The 27,036-nt window shown below is 45.6% G+C and overlaps 1 protein-coding gene and 1 long non-coding RNA gene across 7 annotated transcripts in view, besides 1 other annotated feature; one reads left to right on the top strand and one right to left on the bottom strand.

Annotated features, from left to right (window-relative positions):
* Positions 1-27,036, bottom strand: part of AGAP1 (ArfGAP with GTPase domain, ankyrin repeat and PH domain 1) — a 637,751-nt gene that overhangs the window by 341,938 nt on the left and 268,777 nt on the right. The gene's annotated exons all lie outside the window — the stretch shown is intronic.
* Positions 1-27,036, top strand: part of LOC105373942 (uncharacterized) — a 42,554-nt gene that overhangs the window by 396 nt on the left and 15,122 nt on the right. The window contains exons 2-5 of one of the 2 annotated variants that reach the window (XR_001739944.2): positions 6,366-6,542; positions 12,815-12,899; positions 14,064-14,199; positions 15,874-16,013. This is a non-coding gene — a long non-coding RNA (uncharacterized LOC105373942). Of the gene's footprint in view, positions 1-6,365; positions 6,543-12,814; positions 12,900-14,063; positions 14,200-15,873; positions 16,014-27,036 lie in introns of those variants that run through there. The other variant, XR_001739943.3, reaches the window with a different exon arrangement.
* Positions 1,118-1,618: an enhancer, noted in NCBI's record as "H3K4me1 hESC enhancer chr2:236696882-236697382 (GRCh37/hg19 assembly coordinates)". NCBI's record gives its function as "activates a minimal SCP1, AML or CMV promoter by ChIP-STARR-seq in primed H9 embryonic stem cells {active_cell/tissue: H9 hESC(primed)}" and the evidence as "EXISTENCE:reporter gene assay evidence [ECO:0000049][PMID:30033119]".

Raw genomic sequence — 27,036 nt, 5'->3', positions numbered from 1 at the left:
TTGCTTTTTGGTTCCTTGTCACTGAAAGCCTAATGAGAAGCTGTGGCCAAGATTCAACTGCTCGAGTAAGTCATTAGGACATGCCATGCCCCAAGCAAGCCAGCAGGAGAAAGGGTTCGGTGGGTGGTAATCCTTTGTTGACTTACCTTGCGTATATCAAAGTAATCCTTTGATGCCTTACCTTCTGAGTATCGAAGCACAAAATATGACTATATATATGTATTTTTTTTTTGAGCAAACAACCCTCTAATCTAAAATAGGCTGTGGTTAAAAAGCCAAGCTTGCTTAAATTTCTTCTAGTGAAGCTTTTAAGTTTTTCCTGAAGTACTGAAGTCTGAATTCTTAATCTGAAATTCAGTTCTTGTCTGTATTCTTTTTATCTCGTTGTATTAAAACAAATTTATCTTCATTTATGTCGCAATTACCTATTAGGGTTGTTAATTTGCTGGAAATGAAGCTATTGTTTAATTGCTCCTATTAATCGGGGGATTTAAATGCCGACTGTAATAAACAGTTACCTTCAGGACAGAGCAAAGTCAAGGCTGCTGACGTTAATTTCAGAATTTTAGAATGAGGGGAAATTTCTACCATGTCTAGGGCAGCGGGATTTCCCTTTTCCTTTCAGAGAAAAGGGGAAAGAACATAATTAAAAACAAAAACAAAAACCCTGTGCTGAAACAAATATGGTGTATTTGACATTTTTAATATGTGTATCCAATTCTGGTATAAAGTAGTTATTTGTGGTAAAGGGGACTTCAAATCACGCTGCAGGAAACACACATCCCTTCCTCTTCCATGCACTCCTTCAAAGCACAATAGTTCCTTAACATTTAATCCCAAAGTCGAGCTGCCAAAAATCAGGAATGTCTGTTCCCATAGTCACCCTGGGCTAGAGGGCAGCAGGGGCCAGGGAGCTGACCAACTGCCAGGCTCCAGGCCTCAGGAGGACCAGGGATCCTGTGTTCAGAAGCACCAACATGCAAACGTTCACCCCACTGAGAGATGCCGAAAAGCACCCTAACGTGGTGTGGCCCCGCAGCTGGTTTTGTCTACTGCCGGTCTGAATGCGCGCTTCTGAGGGCTCCATTCTGCTTCCGCCAGCACTTCTCCCCACCATTTGGGAAAGAAGGGGCTCCAAATGATCCTGTCTGGAGAACCCTCGGGGGTCATGTCTCAGGCTTCAGTCTGCCCCATGCACCAACAGGACGCCCACCAGTCAGTTCCAAGCACCGGGATGTGCACTGACGACACCGATGGACCCTCCCACTCCTCTCCTTGCCCGGCCTCACCTACCCTCCCGCTCTTCTCCTCGCCCCACCTTGCCTCCCAATCCTCTCCTCACCCCGCCTCACCTACCCTCCCACTCCTCTCCCCACCCTGCCTCACCTTCCCTCAGCATTGCTCTCATCCATGCCTTCTCCAGTTTTCAAACTCAGCTAACCTCATCCAAGATCCGCACCACACCATCCTGGCTTACTAGTGGGCTCCTAGCTGTTTATCCTTTTGGTGGACTTTCCTGAATTAAAATCCTCAAATCTTCTAGGTCTTTTCCTATCCTTAGGGATTAGGAGTTTGTACATCCAAGTCATACTCCAGCGTGAAGGAATTAAGCTGTGTCTGGAACCCTGTGTCTCCGGCTGGCTGTACCGTAGGGTCCCAGTATGGCACTCTGCTTCTCTGTGCACTTGAGCTAAGTACTGTGTATGATCATGTCCTTTCAAAACCTCCTGCCCTACTCAAGTAAGTCCTACCCATCAGGTTAAGTCAGGATGACCCCATGAGGCATGCATGACTCAGAGGCTGCAGCGTTGATGCCAATGGCCTAGGAAGGTCCCAGAATGTATAATACTTGGTCAAACTCTTGGTCCCAGAATGTTCATGGTCATGCTCTTGGTCTTACAATGCTCTTGGCCTTGCTTGCTCTTGGTCCCGGAATGCTCATGGTCATGGCTCTTGGTCCCAGAATGCTCATGGTCTAGAACGCTCTTGATCTTGCTCTTGGTCCCACAATGTACTTGGTCATCTTCTTGATCCCAGAATGCTCTTCAGCTTGCTCTTGGTCAATGCAGAATTAAGCAAGTCCTCACAGAAACCAAGCAAGTTGCTGCCCATTCTTTAATATGTGGAGTTGGCTGCTTTTCCCTTTAATGTGTCAAGGAAGGTTTCTTTACTATGCTTTATAGCATCCCTCACTCATCCCATTTACTGACTGTTTTTATTGAGCAACTAGTATATGCCAGGCAATTTGCTAGATGTGGGAGATTGTGAAATCCAGACAAATCTGCCAGCTGCATCATCTAGAAAATGTCAACCAACCAACCACAACATCACATCCACCTCCTGCACACCTTGTCTGCACCTTTCTCTCCCAATGTGTTAGATAAGTGGCAGCATGTGGGATATAGAAAGTGCTATAAAGAGAGGCGTGTGTCTATGATGCAGACAAAGAAGGAATAATCTGCAAGGGGGAAATACTGAGAAATTAATGAATGTTGCACAGACATAGAAGAGGCACTTAAAGCAGGAAAAACTCAGATAGATGAATGAAACATTAGAAAGTGTTACGCCTGTGGAACAGGAAGTCATTAGCACGTGATGAAGAAAAGCTTTCATGACATAGGAAACCCACATGGTTTGGAAGCAGCAGCCAAGGGTAGAGGCGGCCCCTGCTAGCTCAACTCTTACAACAGGAGAGGGGAGAAGCCTGAGAACTCAAAGACAAGAAGTGAGAACCGGAGCCCACTGATCACAAGCCTGTGGGGCCACGGCCCCAGGCCAGCTCGACTCTGAGCACTGCCTAAGTATGTGTCAGAGTGGCAGGAGCTGGTGTCAAGACCCTGATTTGGGGGGCGACAGCTCCCTCAAGGAAGCCTGATGGAAACAAAACTAGCATATGCTGGGAAAAGGTGTCAAGAATACGGGAGCCAGAACAAGCGGGGAAGAGAGTGGCAGGGCCAGGAGGACCAATGGACGGAGCTCACGCTTTCTCACTGGAACTCTAGGGGTCTCCTGAACCCTATAAACAAATGAACTTATTCTTCAGGACCTTATTAATGAGGTGCTTCTTCAAGACCTCACCTGCTCAGAGTAAGAGAGCTGTGCTCTTCTCGTCACAGGGCACAAGAAACTAGACGAGATCTTGTCACAGGCACATTCTCCTTCAGATAGCTTTTCATTTTCCAGAAAAATGGACTTATTACAACTGAAGCTGTTTTCCTATTTCCAAAAATAATTACCCCTACAACAATCTCGATAAAAATTTCAGAATCTCTTAGAGAGCTGAGTGTACCATTTCCCTCCATGCCCAACTATAATTCATTATTAATTATTCCACTTAATTGAATAAATCATCATCAAAAACAAGTAGGCAGAATTTAAAAGCAGCTAACATAGCTTAGATTAATCTGAAATGGAGAAAGATATGCAAAAAGCATAAATTAAAGATCTTCCGAAGAGCAGAGCTTTCTAGACTAGGTCACTGTGCTATTCTCCTCATGATACAGGTTAACACAAGAGTTGAATATAGACTCTCATTAGAAAATATGTAACATTTCAAATGCTACAATTAAACACAGTACAAATCTGTTCAAAAGGCCAGGAGATGATTAACTTTCTCTCTCACTTATTCTCAAGCTGGATGCAAATCAGCGTCTTCCAAGACGAGGCAAGTGAATATCCCAGTAAATTGGCAATACAATTTAGATGGCAGGCAAGGATCTCAAAGATAAATGACTTAAACAAAGAAGGGAAAGATGAACCTGTCACTTCTTCTCAACTCATCAAGCTGTCTCGCAGAGAAAGTTGATGATCCTGGAGCAGAAATGTTTCTGCCATCCCCTGAAGGTGAAGGCTCACCCGGCAATTCTTCAATCTGCACGTGAGGCTCCTCAACACTCTTCCACGCCAGGCAAAGCTACGGGACTTCCCTCTTCCATCCACGTTTTTTTTAAAAGGCCCAAATTTGGGGTTACAAAGTAAACTAACACAATTTGTCAGTGGAATGAAAGAAAGACCTAAGATAAGTGCAGATAAACATGGTGGTATCAAAGGAATACGATAAACTATGAAGACAGAATACAGAAAAAGTGACTGGCAAAGGATTTTAAAACATACAAAGAGAAAAAGGTACCACCAACAACATGATAGCGTGCCAGACTGATTATGCCAAATTATTCCAGCTAAAGAAACTACACAAAATTTTAAAGAAAAATGGATTATGCTAAATTATTCCAGCTAAAGAAACTATACAAAATTTTAAAGAAAAATAGATTATGCTAAATTATTCCAGGTAAGAAACTACACAAAATTATAAAGAAAAAAAGATGAGAAGATCAAGATAAATGAGGAACAGGAGACGCAAGAGTTCTAAAGAAGGGAAAATGTAAGACGTAAAGGCCAAAAGTCGATTTTGAAATCAGGAACCTTGAGACAGATCCAGTTAAGTGCAATAATTGGTTTTCTTTTTAAAAAATTAACACAGTTTGATTAATATAGGCTTAACAACTTATCAGGTCTAATTTGCTTCCTATTTTTAGATATGAACACCAACAGAAGAAGGAGTTTAGAAACTTCTGTAATCTTTCCATTTCTCACAGGCACACTCTCCTTCGGATAGCTTCTCACTTTTAAGAAAAATGGATGTATCTACCACAACTGAAGCTGTTTTCCTATTTCCAGAAATAATTATCCTTACAACAATCTACATAAAAAAGACATTTTCTTCTTAAAGTGGGGGAGAGAAGATGTCTTGGTTGGAACCTGAGAGAATTATTCGTCTCCTCCCTGCTCTGTTAATAATGAGCCAGCAGCGGTGGCCCTGTGCACGGGAAGAAGTGACAGTGACACACAGGTTGAATTATACAATGTATTGTGATGCAATTAGGAAGAAGGATGAGATGACAAAACAGATTTCCACTTGGTCTTCAACAGGGCTTTGTGCATTAAGTCATTGTAATACTCTCCCCAGCACCCATCCATTATTATTACTTAACCAGCATTACCTCCCAGAAACCTACCTTTTCTGATACGTGAAGTTCCTCTGGGGAAGTTTTGCCCTTTGTGATGTTATAGTAACATTACCCACAAACTTAGGAGATGCATGATGAATTTGAGGGTCCACATAAACATTTTTAAAACGATCTAAATTCTATATGATTAACATATAAACCAGGTAAATTTTTTTTGCATAGGCCATGGCTACTGAAGAGTTAAGTATATAGCAGAGAGAAACTTTTCATGGTTTTTTTTTTTTTTTTTTGCTTTAATAAGAAATTAAGTTTATCAATTGCCATTGTAATCGCTCACAGCACCTCAGGTAATTAAAAGGGATCTAAACCTAATTTTATTTACATTTAGAATACCTGAGGCCATCTCCGATCAAGATTTCACATTTGTGACTAATAATGTTAAGTGTTAATTAGAGTTCAGCAGAGAATACTGATTGATTTTGAATCTGTAATCTGCTGTGATTTAGGAATAGTGAGGAAGTCAAAGTATTCTTTTCTGTTACCGCAGTTTCTATGCATTAGTGAAATTCTTCAAAGAATCATGTATGCCTTTTAATTCTGGCAGGATTCATTTTTGTAAAAATTGTGGCTCCTCATTATACTGTACACTTCTACTTGTGAGAAAGCACATCACATTAAATTAGGTTTATCTGGACCCATCTTAATGTACGAGACCTACAATGACATTTTTAATGTAGTAACAATTTTTTTGATTTCCCCCTATATTTTATTAACACATTTTTTAAGCATACAAAAAAAATTTGAAAGCGAACACCTCCTTCCACTCCGGCTACATTTTATAATTGTAACATGTTGCTACATACTTGCTTTATTATATATCTATCCACCCATCCATCCGTCCGTCCATCCGTCCGTCCGTCCGTCCATTTCATTTTCTGATGCAATTCAACTACGGTGCAGGCATCAGTTCACTCCCACACATTTCAACATGCACGTGATTAACTATTAGGTTCTTTTTTTGAGATTAAATGTACATACTGTGAAATGCAAAACATCTTAGTTGTACCGGTCCATGAATGTTGACAGATGCCGTGTAACCCAAGCCACGATGAAAATATCCCCCTGAGGAGTTCCTCTGGGCCACCCCCAACCCCAACCAATCCCTCCTTCTCACTTCCTGGCAACCATTCTTCCGATTTCTTTCATCACCAATCAGTTTGCCCGTTGTAGAACTTCATATAAATGGAATCATTCTTTTCTGTGCGTGCCTCTTTCCACAGAGCATAATGTTTTGTGGGTACGTCCATAAAAACAAGTTTTCAAACCACATCTCTGGCATAACAAGATACTAGAATCCTGTGATGACAGGGACGTCACAAGGTCTTTTTCTCTCCACAGTGACACACAGCAGTCCGTCCTCTGCTTCCTAACAGGACTCTATGAGAACATGGTGATGTCCTACCACAAAGAAAGCAACACCTGATTATCAATAACTTCTCTGGTCCGGCCAAGGATGAGCAAGGAACAAAGAGCTTTTAGAACATTAAGCATACATCTAAATTTATTTGACCTGAGGTATGTAAATGTTAGCTATAGGTAAAAGGTTATAATGACTCTTCAGGCCATAAATTCAACTCTTTTTTTTAATCCCCAAATCTTGCTATAAACTACCTTAGGAAAGTATCTTTCACTAAGAAAAGCCTGAGAAACACTTTGTCTTTGGTGACATCATGGTTCAAAGCTCACTGAGAAAAATGGTATTTAAGAAAAAAAATTCATGGTGAACACTTTGAAAACAAGTGTCAATCACTGACCAGATCCTCACTCTGCAACCTAGACACACACACACACACACACACACACACAATCTCCTGCCGATCACAAAGTAGTCTAAAAGGTTAAAAACTAAAATAAACAAACCACAATTTATTGCACTTACAGCTGAAAATGCTGCCTCCCATACAACACCTATTCTGTCACTGCCAGTTACACAGCTACTTGGAAAAGGTATACTTCAACTTAAACACAATCAGTAGGTTTACCTTAATACTGAACGCTGTGAAAATTAGGCATGCAATACGGTTTCCTCAATACCATCCAAGGGTGATAGTTAAAGAGAAAGTGGGAATAGGTGACTGGGACTCCTATTCAGTTATTCCAAAGAAGGTAGACTTTCCTTCTGGGCTTCAGCGTTCTCCCACTGGTACTGCTACACAGCACCTTTTATCTATTACTAGCATAAATGTTTACACATAAGCTTTTCTAGTGATGCTTTTGCAAATTCATTTTGAAGGGGGAAAAAAACAACAAGCATAGACAAAAAGAACTCAGATCTGTGCCAGTTAATAACCCAAACCATTAGCACCCATCTAAAGAATTAAAGGAAGTAATCTGAAAGTAATGCAACCATTTCACTGTGGACACTCAAATACATCTGTGGATGAGATATGTAAGTAAAAGGCAAATTACAGCTTGTGAAATTTTAGATGGCAAATGGTGACATTGTCAAAGTATAGAAAACTGGCTATTTCCTTCCTCCAAAAAATAATATACATGAGAAAGATGGTAAAGACATTACCTCTGTTTTCAAAACAGATTTCTCTTTTGATGGAAAAAATACAAAAAAAAAAAATGGGCAGGAGTGTAAATACTATATAGTAGCCAAAGTTATCCTTCAAATAGATTGAAAATCCACTCAACCATGGCTTTGAATCAAATGCCATGCTCTTGGTGCCCTGCGTCTGGCCTGTAGCCTCTCGTGAGGAGGGCACCTGCCCAGCTCCATCTCCTGGGCTGCAGGCCTTCCTTCTGAAATGAAGAGTTAGTCCTGCTGTCCAGTTAAACTAGGCCTTAAAACAACAATTCCAATCAACTATGGCCAAACAGTGAACATGAAAGGAACCACATTGTGTCACTGGGTCTAGAAAGTTAAAGGGCATCACAGCTCCCATGATGCATGAAGACGTAGCTTCAAGCTTCCTTGATTCTACAAAAGGAATGCGGAAACTCCGTATACACTAGCGGCATCCATTAGAGAATCAGGCCTCTGATGAGATTATTTACATAAAAAAAAAAGTCCCTCCTCCCCCCAAAAAAGCCAACTGGTGATGGGAACAATAATTTGCTATTTGGGTATTTTTCAAAACAGCTTCCATTGGCTCAGGCCTTACCCTTCCAGAGCCCACTGCATTAGAAAAGAGAGGCACTGGATACTGTTTGGCTTACGAAGGCTTCTAGGTGCCTCCGAGACTGTGAATCTAGGAATGAACACGTGTCCAGTGAAAAACTGTCTGCATTCAATAAGTGTGATTTAGTCTCCAATAAAGACCCAACTCTTCATTTGTGCCTTTCTGGCCTTTATAAGCATTTAACTGTCATAACATCCATAATTCAGCACAGAAAAGGCATCATAGAGCATTTATTATAAATCTTACAAAACATCTAAGGCCCCTTTGCACTTTAATCATGTGATAACAGTTACAATAAGATTGTATTAAAAATTTAAACTGCCCTACTTAAGCAATTTACCTTCAAACGTCCATTTCCAGGGAATGAATCCAAGGGATATGAATGTCGAACCCCTGGACAGATTTATTGCACCAAAGAATATTTCTCCCAATATAGCTCTGATGAGTGAAGTCTAATGACTTTAGTTTTATTACTTTTTAAGCACTTAATGGGAAAATTTAGACATTTTCACAAGACTGAGCTTCAACAAGAATGGTACATTTAAAAAATGACAGGTAGGGAAAGGTCTGTAAGATTACTTTAGACATACCCAGATTAAATATAATCAGTGGAAATTTTAAGGCAATGACTAATATCACAGGTTTGCCTCTGTCATTATTAGTTTGGGTTTCTTTTTTTAAAATGTCTTAAATAATTGTCCAGAGAATATTTAGCAAAGAGTGGCTGCAGAGAATTTTATTCTTATACATGTAAAATTTTAAAGCCATTTAAAAACCCCACAGTATTTAATTTTTTTTCCCACACTTATAAACCACCTACCTTGAAGAGGCTACACAGCAGATACCATCATTATCTCAGTATAATTACCCCAGCCTCGGCCAGGATCAACTGTTTCTACCACCAACCAGACTGTCAGCGGGAGAACTATCTTCAAAATGTTCAGAAGCAAATCTAAAAGTTTTCCTTTACTTGAAGTAATTTTTCCCCCAACTTAAACCCACAGCTGTGATCCCTCAGATTTCAATTAATGCCTAGGCAGTAATCCTATCAATCACCAAGGACTATAAATTTCTTATCTTTCTCATTAGCTACACCGTTGCACAGCTTAAATATAAACATACCTTGCCACAGCACTGTAAATTACTTGGCCGAGCAACTCTACCCACCGTCAGAAGGGGCAGGAATGATTTCAGCAAATCTGTGGTGTGCTTGCTGCACTAAAGCTGATTTACACTTCTCCAAAAAAATAAAAAACCACCAAGAATCACACTGACAGAAGATCTCTTTGAGTTTGCTTACTTGGCTTAAAACTGGTAATGACCTGTCTTTATTAGTATTACTAAGTTTTATGGGCAGAATCCAATTTTCTGTGGAAATACATATATATATATTTTGCTGCATCTGCCAATGATATCTTTTGCAGTTACCTGTAGCTATTAATTTTCTTAAACCTAAATTCCTCAACTTATTTTTTAAAGCTGTAAAAAAAGAAAAAAAGCAACAAACTATCTTCTTCTTGAAATAAAATTAGGCACCACTGTATCAAGAAATGGTGAAAACAGGAGGTAGGGGTGGAGGTGGGAGGGGCAGCCCCCCCCAGGAATGTCACCTCCTATTTCAAACACTCTTTTAGGCTAACGTGGTGATACCATCACTCCAGGTCTTGCATGAACCGCTTCATCAAATTTTCTCTAAGGAGATTGTGCAGTCCAATTCTTTAATGGAATAGAGGCTATTTATGCCATTTGCTGTTAAGTACAAACTTTGCAGCGTACATTCCAAGCACGAGTGGTGAGGATTTTGCTGCTGCTGCCCTTTACAAAGCAGCTACCAGGGGTCCCGGCTTTAGGCTGCACAGTTCTGACAGCGGTCCAGGCTTCAGCCATGAGCTTCCAGTTTCCTATCACATTCACTTTATGCCTAATTTAATTCATTGTATCTTTCAAATTAAAATGGATGTAGCACATTAACTGGTTTTCACCTTCAGTCTGCAAAGCCTGTAGGTTACTGATGATCTCACCTGAAGGAAACCAGGGGCAGGGATGTCTGAGCCTCAGCCCCAAGGGCACCTCTAGCCAGGGCGGTACTGCCATCTAGTGGCCTCCGCTTTTCCAAGGAGCAGCTTGGGCTCTGGACTCGCAGAGCTGAAGGGCAGAACCCGGAGAGCCAGCGGGTTCTGAGTGCTGAGCTGAGCTCTGACAAATTCTCACATAGCCAAATATGGCATTCGAAGAGCCTGGAGGGGTAAGTGGTGACCAGACAGACTAAGGTCCTACGGGATGAAATGTAACCAATATTCATCCCCAATTATTTTTAGATTACAAACAACCCAAGAGTGGCCGAGGCCCCTCAAAAAAAGTCAAACCCAACACAGTCTTAAAAGCAGAGCTAAATCGTTAGGTTGGAGACTGTGTGAATTGTATCTTGGCGAGGCTGTATTTTAAAAATAACACAAGTCACCTGAATCCACTGATGTGTCTACAAGGATTTTTCTCCCTCGAGTCTTCTAGCTGCTCCTCATCAAGTTACTGAGGCTTCCTTGCAGATGAGTCTGTGTTCTTGGTAAATGTTCATAGGTTGCCTAACAGGGGTGGGGAGCGCCGAAGCTGACTGCCTGGGTTCCCAGCTCAGTGAGGCAATTTATGACCTGCATGATCTTTACCAAGTTACCTGGCCCTTTTGTGGCTCAGTTTCCTTATCTGTAAAACATACACACAGGATATGCTTCTTGGGGTTGGTGAGGGAAGTCAGTTGATCCATGTGAGGCACAGAGAGGGTGCCAGCCTCCTGCAGTGAGGACTGCCACGGGGCTGGAGAGGCCACAGAGATGCAGGTGACAAAGATGTGGTGCCCGGGCTGGCATCCCTAATATGAGGGTCTAGATGTGGTTGTTCCTGATCCCATGGGGTTTACAGTCTAGACCAAGAACACAGCCATCAGAGGCCACCGTCATCTCCAGGCCATGCTGAGTCCTACCTTGTGTGGGGCCCTGCTCCAAGCACTGGCAGGACCTCTATCATCACCAGTTTCCCAGATGAGGACCCTGGCACTGCGTCTCCAGTCAGGGGAGCCACATGGTAGCCGGGAATTCCGACCTCAGAACTGAACTAGGGAGGAGAGGGGGAAGAAACACTCCCTGGGAAGCCAGAAGCTGGAGCTCTATGCTCACAGATAAGGAGCGAGTGAGTGAGGGGCCTGGGGCAGGAGGAAGAGCACGGAGCAGGAAGCATGAGGACAGGGACTCTTAAGAACCTCGAAGAACCTTCTGGCTCTCAGGACCCACAGCACAGTGGTGGTCTGAGAAAGACACTAAAGAGATGCTGTCTGATTAGACGTGAAATAAAATTCCCTGCTGGCTGCACTGGTCAAAGAACTGGGGGAAATGGGTGGATACCCAAAGTGGAAAGTGCAGAAGGAAACCCAGGCGGGGCGATGGTGGCTGGGGCCAGGGCTCTGATGGCAAGGGTCGTACAAGGTACATGAACCAATACAACCTGGTGCTCAAGCAGCCACAGGGAGGAAGGGAGGGGAGTCAGAGTGGCCCAGGGGTCTAACCTGAGCCAGGGACAGAGGGGCCACCCAGCTGGGGCCCAGGTGTGATGTCAAGGACACAGCTGATATTTAAGTCTCAAGCTCAGAGAAAGGGTCTCAGTGGCCAGAAATGTGAGTGCCTCGGTGAAACACACAGATATGAGATCGCCCAGGTCTGAGGCAGAGGGTGAGGGCAGCGGGCTCAGGGCAGAGCCAGGAGGGGCCAAGGAAGTCCCCTCCTTCCAACCACTACAAACATTTCAAAGGTACAGAAAATGTAACATACAACAGATAAACCCCATAAACCCACTAATATCCAATAAATACAAGTCCTTTGCCATATTTGTTCTATCTCTGTATGTGTCAACTGAGTCAATTACATCACAGCCATCATTCGTTAACGTCTCAAACACTTGAGCGTGCACCTTTATCAGGACATCTGCCTACCTAGTCCTTATGCCAATGGCGGTGCTCTAGGAAGGTGCTGGGCAGGAGGCTTGAACGTGCTCAGGTGACAGCTGAAGGCACTTAGGACCAGCGTCGGATTCTGAGAAGGCGATTGGAGGGGTGCAGGTGAGACAGCTGTGACTCGTCCTCTATGGCAACAGGACATGGCGAGTACAGCCAGCGTAATTTGCTGGTGAAACAACGGTTTCTGCTCCCAGAGGCAGACGCAAGGCTGCCTGCTGATAACGAGGAGGCAGGTGGGAATCAGCCCCACACGGGCGCTTCACACCTGTAATTCTTCTTCTGTCCCATGTCTGCTGGTTCTGTCTCCAGCTCGGAGCAGCTCAGGAAATCACTTTTGTCTTTTTTTTTGAGACAGAGTCTCGCTCTGTCACCCAGGCTGAAGTGCAGTGGCGCAATCTCGGCTCACTGCAACCTCCGCCTCCCAGGCTCAAGTGATTCTCCTGCCTCAGACTCCCGAGTAGCTGGGATTACAGGCGCACGCCTGGCTAATTTTTTGTATTTTTAGTAGAGACAGGGTTTCACTGTGTTAGCCAGGATGGTCTCGATCTCCTGACCTCGTGATCCACCCGCCTTGGCCTCTCAAAGTGCTGGAATTACAGGCATGAGCCACCGCGCCCAGCATCACTTCTGTCTAATACTTCCTCGTTTCTCTGCAGGATCCAGCCTGGCCTCTCAAGAGCAGACGCTCACATGATAAAACGTGCTGGGAACTCACCATGTACTCAGCAAAGGGAAGCAAAGGTGAGCACGGCCCCAGCTTTTCCTGCTCCGAGGCTGATTCCAGTTTGGCGGAAAAGCCAGAGAGGTTGCAGCCAAGAAAGGGCTAGGAGAGCCTCGAGATTTTGGAAAAGGGGCTCCGAGTTGGTGCCGATGCCTGAGGGACGGGCAGGTTTTCGCTCAGAGCAAGGCTTTGAGGCTAAGGAAAGGGTGCGAGCTTGCAGTGCCTGGAGTACAAGGTGTGCAAGGGGAAGGGGGAGGGCCCTCCGCTCCCTGCAGGGCATAGCACCTGCAACACAGGAGGCTCTCTGGGAATAGCTGCTCATGAGCGAGTGACGCCCACTGGGACAGGTGGTGCCACATTCAGAGGGCGGAAATACTGGCGCCCTGCACTGCCCACTGCCTTACACACTGGCCTTCAACTTAGGAGACCCTCGACAAGAGGGGTTCACAGCCAAAAACAAGTTTGGAAACCACTATGGTAGGTGCTAGGGAGGCATCAAAGGCTTTCGAACAGGAAAGAATCCTATCTGAGCTCTGTCACAGGCAAGAGCAGAGGCCAGCACAGCAAAGATTCAGTGTGGGGTCATCTGCCTGGATACAGAAGCAGGAGGCTGACAAAGCAGTCTCAGTGACTGAGGAGGAGGCCTGGACTTCCGAATGGGCAGTAGGTAGGGGGAGAGAGGCTGAGGGAGGAGGCAACACCAGTCCTGACCACCCCTGCGAGGCCTTGGAGCCCCACCCTCCTCCCTTGTCACTCTCATTCATTAAGCCACACTGATGGAGAATTCACCACATCCTAGACACTGTGACCAGAATTTTGAAACAGGTCCACTTTTGGCCCTTGTAGATCTTCTCAAAGCAAAATCAGTTCTTAAGAGGGAGGGTCACGCATCTAATATATATTCAAAACCAAACACAACGCAGTCTCCTAAGCCGTACAATGTCCCATGTCCACACTTCCTATTAAACTAGGAAAATATCTTAGGAAAACCTTCAAAGGACAGAAGCTGGCGGTTGCACATAAGGCAATCCCAGGCACGGAAAAACTTAAACGCTTAAAAGGAATCAACAGGCCATCTTCATACTCAATTCTCTTTACCAATTCTGCACAACCTCCTTGAAAACTTATATCAGAAATTCCTAAAATGTGTTTCCAATGTTTTTCTATCTTTGAAATACTTCCAGGGGTATTAATCAATGTTTTGATTAATTACACGTACATAGAATTTAAGACAAAGTAAAGGCTCTTCCATCCCCGCAAGTCCCCAGAGAAAATTTATAACAGCAAAGTATCATCATTACTAAATTAGAGCGTGACCAGGTATGTACTGGGGTTAACACTTAACTCGGGGCGGGGTGGGAGGAAGGACTATGACACTTCTCAGTGGCCGTGAATTATTAAGGCTTTATCTCCTGGCAGACAGAGAAATCTAGGCTGACAATAACAGAGCAAAGTACATTTATTTTTCTTTTTTGTCTTTAAGAAATAGGTTCAGAAGGTAGGAAAATAAATGTTGTTTAAAAAGCTTTCTATGGTAACTCGTCCTGGAAAGGACGTCATTACACCTATGATTTAAGAGGACAGCTTTTTATGCTTCCGCTAATACAACTCACTTTTGGCTGGCACAAAATGATCTCACAGGAATTCTTTCAGTCATCAGGGCACCAAACACAGGCTATACCGATGCAAACCTCCTTTCGTTGAGGGTGACACACCCCATGACAAAATCCTGTGCCAAAGAGTGTGCTACAGTCTGGGACAGGAATCCCAAATTGGTTACTGCTCATCACTGGTTGGTTCCTGGACACCTGCAGGACCTGTGGGCTCTGTCCCCACTCACCTTCTCTGTTCCCCAGCTGGCTGCAGGCAGACAGGACAATCTCCGATGCCCCTTCTGTTCACCCAGTCCTTTTGCTTTGTCACTACTCCTGGAGCTTTCTCTCAAACTTTCCCAGAATTTACAGGGGAATCTCTTCCATAAAAAAAAATAAATTTGGCTCTCAGAAGGGAGCTCCAGCTTTCCCCAAACTGACATTTTGGCACCAGAGAGGGGTGGTGGCTTCGTTTTTGTAGCCTGGTGACAAGCACAGGAGGTGAATGAATGGGCGAGTGAATGCAGGCGCCAATCACTCAGATCAACCCACCGCAGAGATCTCGCTCATCTGAATTCTCTTTCACAAGATAAAAAGGTTAGTAATTACTTTAGGACTGCATCTGTTTTCTACTCTGAGACGTCATTGAAAAGACCAAAATAAGTTCATGTGAAATCTCTGATTGGAATCAAAGTACCGCCATAAAGATGCAGGCAGCCTGCTGCATCTAGGGTAATTGCGAGCAGCCTAACGACTATTTTAATCACTGCATTTAGGCCCAGCTCTACTTCAGAGCCCTGGCTTCATTTCCATTTTAAATGCGACAGTTTTCAGTCCTTGATCGCTTTCCTATCAGCAATTTTTAGGCTACTACACTTAAAGGTTTGGAATCTTATTTTCCCATTAGCCTACTGGTCTTGCCCAAGTCCACGCTGACTTGGGAAAAGTGACTGCCTGCCGTGATGGAAGGGAAGTACTCAACCCGACAGACTCAGCCCTTTTTAAAAACTGGAAGCAGGGGTGAGTCATGGAACTCCCTCTGCAGCAGCACCTCTATCTTCCCAGCCCTGGGCTGGCGACAGGTGTGTGAGGGACTCCTCTGATGGCTGTGGATAGGGGAGGCTGGAATTTCTGCCTTACGGATTTTCCAGATGTGCATTTTTAGTTTATAGATGTGCCATACTTTACAGAAGAAATGTCTATAATATCAAGAATAAGGGCATTTATTTATGAGTTGAATTTTCAAGACTTCTACAAATAGTTTTCTCCTAGATCTGGATATTTAATTGCAAGGCAGTAAAACAATCTGAGATTAAGAAATTTAACTTTTGTTCATCGTAGTCATAATAGTAGTAGTAATTGCTATCTCTTGGTCCTGTTTTATTTTTGTTAAAAATCTTAGAGGGGGAAAAAAAGTTGGCTGAATGGACCAGCAGGTGAGATGAAGAGTTGATTGTCTTCAAACGTAAAATATCTCAAGCAAGAAAAGAAGAAAAAAGTCTCTTCAATAAATGTTGGCAATATTTTCGAGATTTTTTTCTTTTTTTGGTGCAAGGACAGTAAAGGAAAACAAAGGGCACTCAACTAATTAGAAGATAAACTGTGATTCTCCGAAGAAAACCAGCCCCCATCTCAGGAAACTTCCATAGGAGAGGACATGACTCACCAGTCCATTCCCAGGTCCAACCACTGTTTCTAATGAATGAACTGGCGCTATTATTTAAAAGGATCAGAATCTATAGTGAGGTAGTAGAACAGAGTATGGGGGCAGGGAACCTAAGGCCGATTCACGCTGACTTCCTAGAACTAAATCGAACGAAAACCCCAACTTTCCACACCTAAGTAACAAAAGGACCTGAGGCTGCTCCCTTTGCAACCCCCTCCCTGCCTTTTCTGCAAGGCAGATGGAAAACTGAAAGTGCCTCCACCTGGTTGCTTTCTGCAACCAATCAATCAGACATTTGCATAGGAGTGTAACTTTGTAACTTTGCTTCAGCCTTTGATTGGTTGCTTTCCACAACCAATCAGACTGACCGTAGGCCAAATCTTCATTTGCATAGAAGTGTAACCTTTGTAACCTCACTTCCACCTTGGATTGGTTGCTTTCTGCAACAAATCAGACTGACTGGGGGCCATGACTTCATTTGCATGGGGTGTACACCAAATGGCCAATGGGAAACCTCTAGAGGATATTTAAACCCCAGAAAATTCTGTTACTGGGTTCTTGAGCCCCTATGCTCCGGCTGCTCCCACCCTGTGGAGTGTACTTTTGTTTTCAATAAATCTCTGCTTTTGTTGCTTCATTCTTTCCTTGCTTTGTTTGTGCATTTTGTTCAATTCTTTGCTCAAAAGGCCAAAAACCTGGACCCCCTCCACCAGGAACAATAGTAAGTTGATCTGCTTCCAAAACACAGAGGGGAGAAAAAGTGGCTACAGACAGCTTGGTGCTTTTCACTCCATATCCCAACAAAATCAAACAGAGCCATCCCGACAGCTTTACTGGGCACATAAAGAATGCAGGGCCCACAAGGACTCAGTGACCTCCTGAAGGTCAGAGAGAGACCCGCTTGCATCCCAGGCTCCGAGGGCGGCCTCTGCCTGTCTACTCGCGGCTGGTTCCATGTGAAGGCTGGTCACAGCCGCTCAGCTGTGCTCAGTCCTGTGACAATGAACTCTCTGCCTTGTGTTCAGTGTCACCCACCTTCTTAGGCCCAAGCTACAGACACATTTCAGCTATGAGAGGCATTCCCAGAAGAAGATAATCAAGAAAAGGCAGATCCATTTCACAGCTGGGTCAACTGACTAAGTGAGATGCTGAAGCACCATGAATGGGAGGACTCTGTGGTCCAGCCCAGAGTTTATCCATCCACAAGCCATAACCTACAAGTGCTGGCTTCTTGGTAGCTGACTGAGGAACAGCTAAGATGGAGATCTGATGGGGCTGGAATACATGCGCCTGCTGGTGAGGAGCTATTTGTCAACAGCTGTCTTTAGGGAAGTTCGTCAAGAGAAATCAGAGTTTCTCAGTGTGGTCTGTCATAAAGCATCAGCTCTGCTTGTCTTGTCATTAGCGGGATTATAAGAAATATCTGGGGTTGGGTGTGGTGGCTCACACACGTAATCCCAGCACTTTGGGAGGCTGACGCAGGCGGATCACCTGAGGTCAGGATTCGAGACCAGCCTGGCCGACATCCCTGTCTCTACTAAAAATACAAAAAATTAGCCAGGCATGGTGGCTGGTTAATTAATGTAATCTCAGCTACTTGGGAGGCTGAGGCAAGAGAATCACTTGAACTCGGAGGCGGAGGTTGCAGTAAGCCAAGATCGCACCACTGCGTTCCAGCCTGGGCAACAGAGTGAGACTCCAACTCAAAAAAAAAAAAAAGATAAGAAAAGAAAAAAAAAAAGAAACAAGAAACATGTCAGCTCCGGAACATTGCATTTACTTCTATTTTCTAAACAGAACAGTTATGTAATTCCATCTGAATTTTTTGTCACAGGCCTCGAAACAAGTAAAAAGGATGAATGATTAAAATATGAAATATTGTAAGGTTAAAACGACATACTGATTCTTTGAAGAGAAATTCAGAACTCATTTCTAACACTGGGGAGAGACAGGAGTGCTGGGAAGAGGGGGAGGTAAGGAGTGAGTTGGAAGAAGGAAGGAGGGAGCCCCTGACTGCACAAGATGTAACTGACGCAGATGAGCACCCACCACAACGGCCGGAGTCACACAGCCTCTCCTCGCTTCAGCTTCCTGGGCTCTAAGCCTCTCCAGGTGGGGATCACTCTTCGGGGAAGACCAGACAGGGCAGATGGAGCTCTCAAGTCACGTGAACACACGGCCACCAGTTCCACAGGGCAGAGACCGGCATGTCTCCAGTTGAAAAGCCACGCCCGTCATCTTTGCACGCCCACATGCCTTAGGTCACCCTGGCTGCATCCTGTGGCAGGTCCGTGGGTTCCTGGGGGTGCCCTGCTCCCAGCTGTGCCCACGTGTGGTGGGAGCCCCAGAGTGGCCCCAAGGCTCCTCAGGTGCACCTGAACCTTCTGCACCTATGGCGCAGCCTGGAGACCGTGCTCCCCAGCAGAAGCCCTCTGGAGGCGGCCTGCCTCTGACCATCTGCCTTAGCTTCCTGCAGCTGCTCTAACAAGTTCCCATGAACCCAGTGGCCCAACAGAAACTTAATTTTCTCAAAGTTCTGGACGCCAAAGTCCAAAATCGCCATCACTTGGCTGACAAGGTGCTGGGGGCCATGCCGGACCCAGAGACTACAGGTGAGCAGTTATCTGTGGGCCTCCCAGCACCTGCGGCGGCCGCACTCCTGGGCCATGTTAGTCCCAACATCCAGGCAGCATCTTCAAACTCCTCTGCTCCACGTGGACCCTTCTCCCTCCCTATTATAAGGATACATGCAATTGCTTTCAGGGCCCAATCAGAAGGTATTCAAGATTCTTAACCACATCTGCAAAGACCCTTTATATTTTGGACACAAAATATAATATTCGTCAATTCCAGGGATTAGAACTTGAGTATCTTTTGGGACCCCATCTTCCTGCTCACCACACCATCTCGGTACAGGGGTCAGACATTCCTGAAGCATTGGAATCTGCCACTTTGAGCTTAATTATCCTAGCACTGACTGTGATAATCCATGAAAGGCAATTTTTTTCTCAAAATCCACCAGCTTTTCTAAGCAGTTTAAATAAAAGTCTGAAATGATTCTGAGTGTTCTAAGCCTTGTCCTTCAGTTTAAGCTTCTATTTAAATCTTCTACTTTAGGAGATTTTATGATTGCGTGAATATCCATCATGGGCAATGCAGGAACCCTCCGGAGCCCCCACTTGAGAATCACTTGAACCTAGGAGGCGGCAGTTGCAGTGAGCCGAGATGGCACCACTGCACTCCGGCCTGGGTGACAGAGTGAGACTCTGTCTCAAAAAGAAAGAGGCCAGGCGTGGTGGCTCACGCCTGTAATCCCAGCACTTTGGGAGGCCGAGGTGGGCAGATCATGAGGTCAGGAGATCGAGACCATCCTGGCAAACACTGTGAAACCCGTCTCTACTAAAAATACAAAAAAAATTAGCCAGGCGTGGGGTGGCGTGCGTCTGTAGTCCCAGCTACTGGGGAGGCTGAGGCAGGAGAATGGCATGGCATGAACCCGGGGAGCGGAGCTTACAGTGGGCGGAGATCCCACCACTGCATTCCAGCCTGGGCGATACAGTGAGACTCCGTCTCAAAAAAAAAAAAGAAACAAAGAAAGAAAAAAATGTGTGTGTATATATATGTGTTATTACTAGGAGGTGGGATTATAGGTGATTTTTACTTGCTGTCTTACAGTTTCCTGTATTTTTACAAACAAGTTATTTTAATCACAAAAACATGTTTAAATGTGTGTATTCAGAAGATATGAGATACACTTGCTAATATATGAAACATACATAAGTGTGTATCTTAATAGAAATACATGTGAAGTGTAACTCTGGAAAACCAAAGTCCTTGGAAAGGACTGGATGCTCCTTGGCAGCCGAGGGCCATGTCCTCCCTCCCCTGTGCCAAAGCAGAACTCAGCTAACACAAGCCAGGCTGCCTCGGAGCGTCGCCTGTGCCTCCCCCATGATCCAGGACCAGGTGAGAGGCGGCACCTGGAGATGCCCTTTAGTCACTGCTTTCGTTTTTTTTTCACTGCCTCCCCGAGATTTTGACCACGATATTTTACAGCAATTAATTGTATATTGTGTTGGAAGGATTTCCTCTGAATGTCACTAAACTTCTTCAAGAGCATCCTAACTTATCTCACGCAACAGCATGAACGGAACAACTAACTGTTTGCATTTCTTTAACAACCATTTGGGCAAAGGGCCTGCCCAGGAAGGAGGACAGAAACCAAAGACCTGAGTGAGGCTTGTCACCATCTCCTCGCAAAACTCCAATTCCTTAAAACATTATTTAGTAGCATAAGCCAATGATGCAATGCCAACAATTTTCTGCAAAAGAGTGAAGACCACGCAAACCTTGCCACTGGAGGAAAAAGAAAACTCAAAGCAGAAAGAGTTGGGCACGCCCCACTCAGCAGCCCAGGCATGTCCTGGCTCTGGTGAGCAATGACTGCATGACCTGCCACCAATCCCAGGAGTACTCCTGGAGGGCACCGTGCCAGGCACTGGGGGACAAAAGACACGCCTGGGCCCCAAGGTAGCAGCAACAGGACTGTGTGACGGAGCTACGGGGGACGGGCACTAAGAACCCAGAAGAGGGAAAATACCCAGGAAAACAAAATATCTGAGAAAAGGATCCAAGGCTGGCAATTTCTAATCCAGTTGAATAATTTTCACTCATTTATGGTGAATTACTCGAGTACTGGGATCTTTAGTACAGTTGGTATAATTATTGGAATATTTGCTAAGGTCTGTCATCAGGAATCCTATTTCTGAGATCAGGGTTTTTCAAACTGTATTTCGGCAGCAGGTGTTTCTTCTTCTGTAAGAAACAGATCTGGGAACTCGATGAATCAGAGAGAGGAAGCTGCAGCGCTGGCCAAACTGGGGCCTGGCCCACATGGCTGCCCAGATCCCCGACAACACTGTCAACCGCTAACAGTGCTGGGAGCAGGCTTCATCCCACGGCGGCTGTGCCTACCCTCTCTACAAAGCCGTGCCCACCTGCAGGTAGGTTCTGTGAATGTGCCCCGGCACCGTGCACATCCCTGGATGCCGCCGGAGTTTACTGATTCGACTGCAACACCTGAACCTTGGGCCCCAGCTCTACCCATTGGCTCCCCACAGAATGCCCTACATCTTAGAGGATGGTAAAACATTGTCCTTTGGCACTAAAAGACTACTTTGAGAAAGCTACCCTCCTAAGGGGAATGTGGCTCTCCGCTCTGATGAAATACCCACTTTTACTTAACTTCTTTTCTCATGACTTTCTGCCAAATTTTCACTACTCTATATACTGAAAGTAGTAAAATTCTCCAAAATCTTTATAAATTCTAGACATTCAATTTGTACATATTCTGATAGAGAAAATGTTTGAAGAATACTGAGTTTGTGATTGGATCTATTTCTCATTTGAGGTACTGAAAATACAATTAGTCCCATTTTACAAATATAGAAATTGAAAGTGTTCTAATATGAGATGCTACAATTTCTCAAATTCTAATGAACCTTGTGTAGTGAGAGAAAATAAAGGGTGAAAACAATAAACAAACGAAAAACTGGTAGGGAGAAGCCCTCTATCTTAGGGTAAGAAAAACTAAGAGGGAAAAGAAAAAAACCTTCAAAAACTAGAAGACTCTGGCCAGGGATGTTGGCTCACACCTGTAATTCTAGCACGGTGGGAGGCAGAGGCGAGTGGAATGGCTGAGGCCAGGAGTTCGAAACCAGCCTGGCCAACATGGTGTAACCCTGTCTCTACTAAAAATACAGAAATTAGCCGGGCATGATGGCGTGGGTGCCTGTAGTCCCAGCTACTTGGGAGGCTGAGGCAGGAGAATTGCTTGAACCTCGGAGGCGGAGGTTGCAGTGAGTCCAAATCACGCCACTGTACTCCAGCCCGGGCGACAGAGCGAGACTGTGTCTCAAAAAAAAAAAAAAAAAAAAAAAAAGACAAGAAACTGGAAGATTCTATACCAAGATAAATGGTATACATTACAATCCCATCCGTGCTGTGCCCCCAGCCCACTGCCAACCCCACAGGGAACACAGCAGCTGCTAATCCTCTGGAAAGGTCCTACTGCCTGCAGAAACTTACCACTCTTGGTAACGGTGCTTAGATTTGTAAACGGAATATCTACATTTCCAAAAAATGATCAACTCCCGTCATGCTCCCAGGAGTGTCAGTCTGACTTTGCCTTTGAGGCTTCATCTCTCTCTGAACACGACTGCATAAAGGTAAGGTCATGGCTTTGGTCAACGGAAAAAGCAACGGCTGCACAGAGGCTGATGGTGTGGGCCGGACCCCCAGCCCGCAGAGCCTCCACGCTTGGCCCGGGTGCTCGCTGGTGCGCACGAGAAGCCTGCGCCCAACCTGCCTCCCGATTCAAGGCTGCAGACGCTAACGTGAGGTGCCTGGCCAATCACTCAAGCCAGAGAAACTCTTGGTGCATTCTGTTAAGAGAGAATGATGGGCTAAATAATAAGTCCATTTATTATACTCTATAAAGAAGTATCAGGCCAGGGTGCAGTGACTCACACCTGCAATCCCAGCACTTTGGGAGGCCAAGGTGGGCAGATCACCTGAGGTCAGGAGTTTGAGACCAGCCTGGCCAAGATGTCGAAATCCCATTTCTACTAAAAATACAAAAATTAGCCAGGCGTGGTGGCGGGCTGTAATCCTAGATACTTGGGAGGCTGAATCAGGAGAATTGCTTGAATCTGGAAGGCAGAGGTTGCAGTGAGCCAAGATCATACCACTGAACTCCAGCCTGGGCAAAAGAGCAAAACTACATCTCACAAAAAAAAAAAAAAAAAAAAAATTAGCCGGTGTGGTGGCACGCACATATAATCCCAGCTACTCGGGAGGCTGAGGCATGAAAATTGCTTGAACCCAGGAAGTGGAGGTAGCAGTGAGCCGAGATCTTACCACTGCACTCTAGCCTGGGCGACAGAGCCAGACTCCTTCTCAAAAAAATACAAAAGAAAAACTTTGTATCTTTGGCCAACTTTTCTTTGATTCTTCTGTAAAGTTACATGCAGGGCAAAATCACAGAATATATAACCACAGAATGTAGAATTCTTTAACCACAGAATATAACATTTCATCTTTTTAATTGTGTTCTCCTCCTCATTCCAATGAATGAAACTTTTTTACTTCTGCATTTGTGTGCTGCTGATCCAGTAACTTCACACGCTTTACGGAGTGTATCTTATTACAGGTCTAAATGGTCTCTTAAACCAGTGTGTTTTATTATATCTGTATTCTCCATGGTGACAGCAAAAGGAAAACATTTGCGCAGGAGAATAATCCTTAGACGCGCTTTCAATGCCCCCTAGTGGCGGTTTACTAAATTACAACAGCACTTGCATACACTGTGCTTCATGGGCCATACGGTCCTTCTAGCTCAGACCTTGTCACAGACCCAATGTCCTGTTACCCACATATTCTGTTGCATGCAGAAAACGCTCTGTGAATTTTTATTAGTTAGCTTATAAAAATAATCGATGTGTTATCGTACTGCATTTAATCCAAGCACCCTGTGTTAAAATGGCTTAAATTTTACTAAAAACAATTATAACTTAAAGGAGCATTTTATTTTAGCTCACTACCAAGTTTTTTAATGTAGCCAATGGCTTCTAAGTACGACATTCATAAAACAAGAATCGAACTGTGCAGCCAAAAGATACAGACCTAATTTCTAGCACCTGCCTTGCTACTAAACACTCTATCTGACAAGACCGGTCCTGTCCACCTGTGAAGGGAAGGGTCGAGCTAGGTGGGGTCTCTGTCCTTCCAGCTCTGAAATTCTACACATCTAGAGGTCAGGCCAGAAATGTAAGCACTACCTTGGACTTTTCATTGAATAATGAAATCTTGGTGCGGGCATGGGAGTATTTCCCAGTACCCAGATGACTATGTTGGTGTTCAATATTTTTTCTTACGGTTTACTCACAACGTTGAATGAGAGAGTTTTCTGAAACTCCAGAATTCACAGACCATAAAGATTCACTCTGAACTATGGCTGTGCTTGGAATACAGTTGGCTGGGGATGAGTCACAGCCCCTCCTGCAGACGTAGACACGTACAAGGCAAAGTGCTGCCGAACATTTAGCGGGGAAGCGATTGCTCAGCCCAGGGAGAAGGGAACATGTGGTACAGTCCGGTTGGCTGTGCTCACGGCACCAGGACTGACCACGCGGCAGTGAGCCGATGAGCCCCCAAACGAACAGTGTTCAGCTTCTCTTTTTAGGCTGGACTGCTGCTGATTAATTTACATGTTCGACTAAAAAGTGCAGGCACATGTTCCCACTGGAGGGGCCGGGCCTGTGGGGGCAGCGTGAGACTACCACCCATGGGGAAAGCAAAGCAGCTGCCACGGGCGCTCGCAGGTGCCCCCATCCCACAGACACTCCCAGATACGCCCACCCCACAGACGCTCCCAGATACCCCCACCCCCACGGACGCTCCCAGATGCCCCCACCCCACGGACGCTCCCAGATACCCCCAACCCCACGGACGCTCCCAGATACGCCCACCCCACGGACGCTCCCAGATACCCCCAACCCCACGGACGCTCCCAGATACCCCCACCCCACGGACGCTCCCAGATACGCCCACCCCACGGACGCTCCCAGATACCCCCAACCCCACGGACGCTCCCAGATACCCCCACCCCACGGACGCTCCCAGATACGCCCACCCCACGGACGCTCCCAGATACCCCCAACCCCACGGACGCTCCCAGATACCCCCACCCCACGGATGCTCCCAGATGCCCCCAACCCCACGGACGCTCCCAGATGCCCCCAACCCCACGGACGCTCCCAGATACCCCCACCCCACGGACGCTCCCAGATGCCCCCAACCCCACGGACGCTCCCAGATACCCCCACCCCACGGATGCTCCCAGATGCCCCCAACCCCACGGACGCTCCCAGATGCCCCCAACCCCACGGGCGCTCCCAGATGCCCCCACCCCACGGGCGCTCCCAGATGCCCCCACCCCACGGGCGCTCCCAGATGCCCCCACCCCACGGGCGCTCCCAGATGCCCCCACCCCACGGGCGCTCCCAGGTGCCCCCATCAGGGGTGGGAACATGCAGGCAGCCGAGCCGACTCAGGACGCAGCAGAGATAAGGAGACATGTTTGGGTTTTAATTCTTTAGCTGTTGTGGCAGTGACCTGTCAGTGACTGAGTTCTGAAATCCTGATATTTCAAACATGGAATAACAGATTTTTACGATCACCAAAGTGGGGGGGATGTGCTTTAGGTGCCTGGGAAACATGGATCTACGTGACCAAGATCCCCAGTCCAGATGGACAATGAGGAAAGGCAGAAAAGGAATAAACATGGGCAACGGGGAGGGGCTGAAGCGACCGTGGTGGGCCACAGCTCTTCCCTGAAAATCGGTTTCTGTGCATGAAAATGAAGGGTAGAGAGAGATTCTCAAGCCCTTCAGAGCACCAACGACACACAGCCATGCTCAAGGAACTGGCAGTTTTGCTTTTTCTTTGCCTCCTTTGAAGTGTACTTCAGATATTTGTCTGTAAGGTGCTCATGTGCCGATAAAAGCGCCTACCAACCAGTCGGAAGAGCTTACGGAAGCATGGCACTTCTGCCGTGGAAGTTCGCCTCCACATGTCACAGCCACACATGGGCAACCGCCACACACGGGCCGGAGCCACGCACGGGCCAAAGCCACGCACGGGTCACAGCCACGCACGGATCACAGCCACACACAGATCTTCAGACCAGTGCTCTGTGCTGTCAGCATTCTGGGGAGCACGGCTGCTCCCACCTTTGCAACCGCCTGATGACCCCAAAAGCGCGCATCTGTAAGAGCAGCAAGGACTGCCTGGGTCCCACGTGTCATCCTCAGGAGTACACCTTTCCTACCTAGGACAGGTGGGAAATCAGATAACAAAACAGATTACAGGACGTGGACTTATTTTCATATTTGGGGGTGACTTACATGAAATAATACTTCTGTGTATAAACTGATAGAGGTTTTCAAAATGAATATACCCAGTGTGGCCAGGTGCAGAAAAAGGGCAGCTGCTGGAGAACGCTGAATTAGGACAGGTCTCCTGGAAGGCCAGTCAACACCAAGGATTCAAAGCCTTAACATTCTGAAGGATGTGGACACACAGTCTCACTTCCAGAGATGGATCCTCGGGAAATTAGGAAGGACAGAGACACAGCTTTCAGTAAAGAAAACCATGCACGGAAGCACTCATCTAAATCAAATACAGAGGGATAAAAAACCAACCAAATGTCTAATTGGAGACTGGGTCCAAAAGCTGTTCTGTTTGCTCAAGGAAATGCCGTGCAAAAATCAATAACCACAGGGTGGGAAAAGTTTCACGGTCGCGGATCTCTTGTCCAAAATGCTTGGAAACCAGGGTGTTTTAATTTTTTTTTTTTTGTGGAATATTTGCAGGCTGAGCATCCCTAAACTGAAAACCTGGAATCCGAAATTCTGCGTGAGCACTTGTGTGCCATGTCTGCACTCAAAACATTTCGGATTTTGGAGCATTTCCAGTTTAAGATTTGGATTTTCAGATTAGGGATGCTCCACGTGTATGTGAAAGAGTATGCTATAAAGTCTCACAATGCATGACAGTCCATTTTTTTCAAACACGGCAGGTGCACGTGTGCGCGCGCGCGCACACATACACACACACACACACCCGAGCCTTAACAATCATTGCCCCCGGGTGGCAGTGTTGTCAGTGGTTTTTATTTCCATATTTTATATCCTTTAAAAATCATCTTTCTTCTCTTTGGCAAATTTCACAACATCCAACGTACTCACTGAAGGTTTTACAATCTATCTTTCTTTCCTGTTTTTTTGAGATGGAGTCTCACTCTGTCTCCCAGGCTGGAGTGCAGTGCCACGATCTCAG

This window comes from Homo sapiens, chromosome 2 (assembly GCF_000001405.40).
Source record: "Homo sapiens chromosome 2, GRCh38.p14 Primary Assembly".
In the NCBI taxonomy this organism is placed as follows: domain Eukaryota; kingdom Metazoa; phylum Chordata; class Mammalia; order Primates; family Hominidae; genus Homo; species Homo sapiens.
Note: the sequence above shows the minus strand (reverse complement) of the source record. Positions and strands in the feature narration are given on the sequence as shown.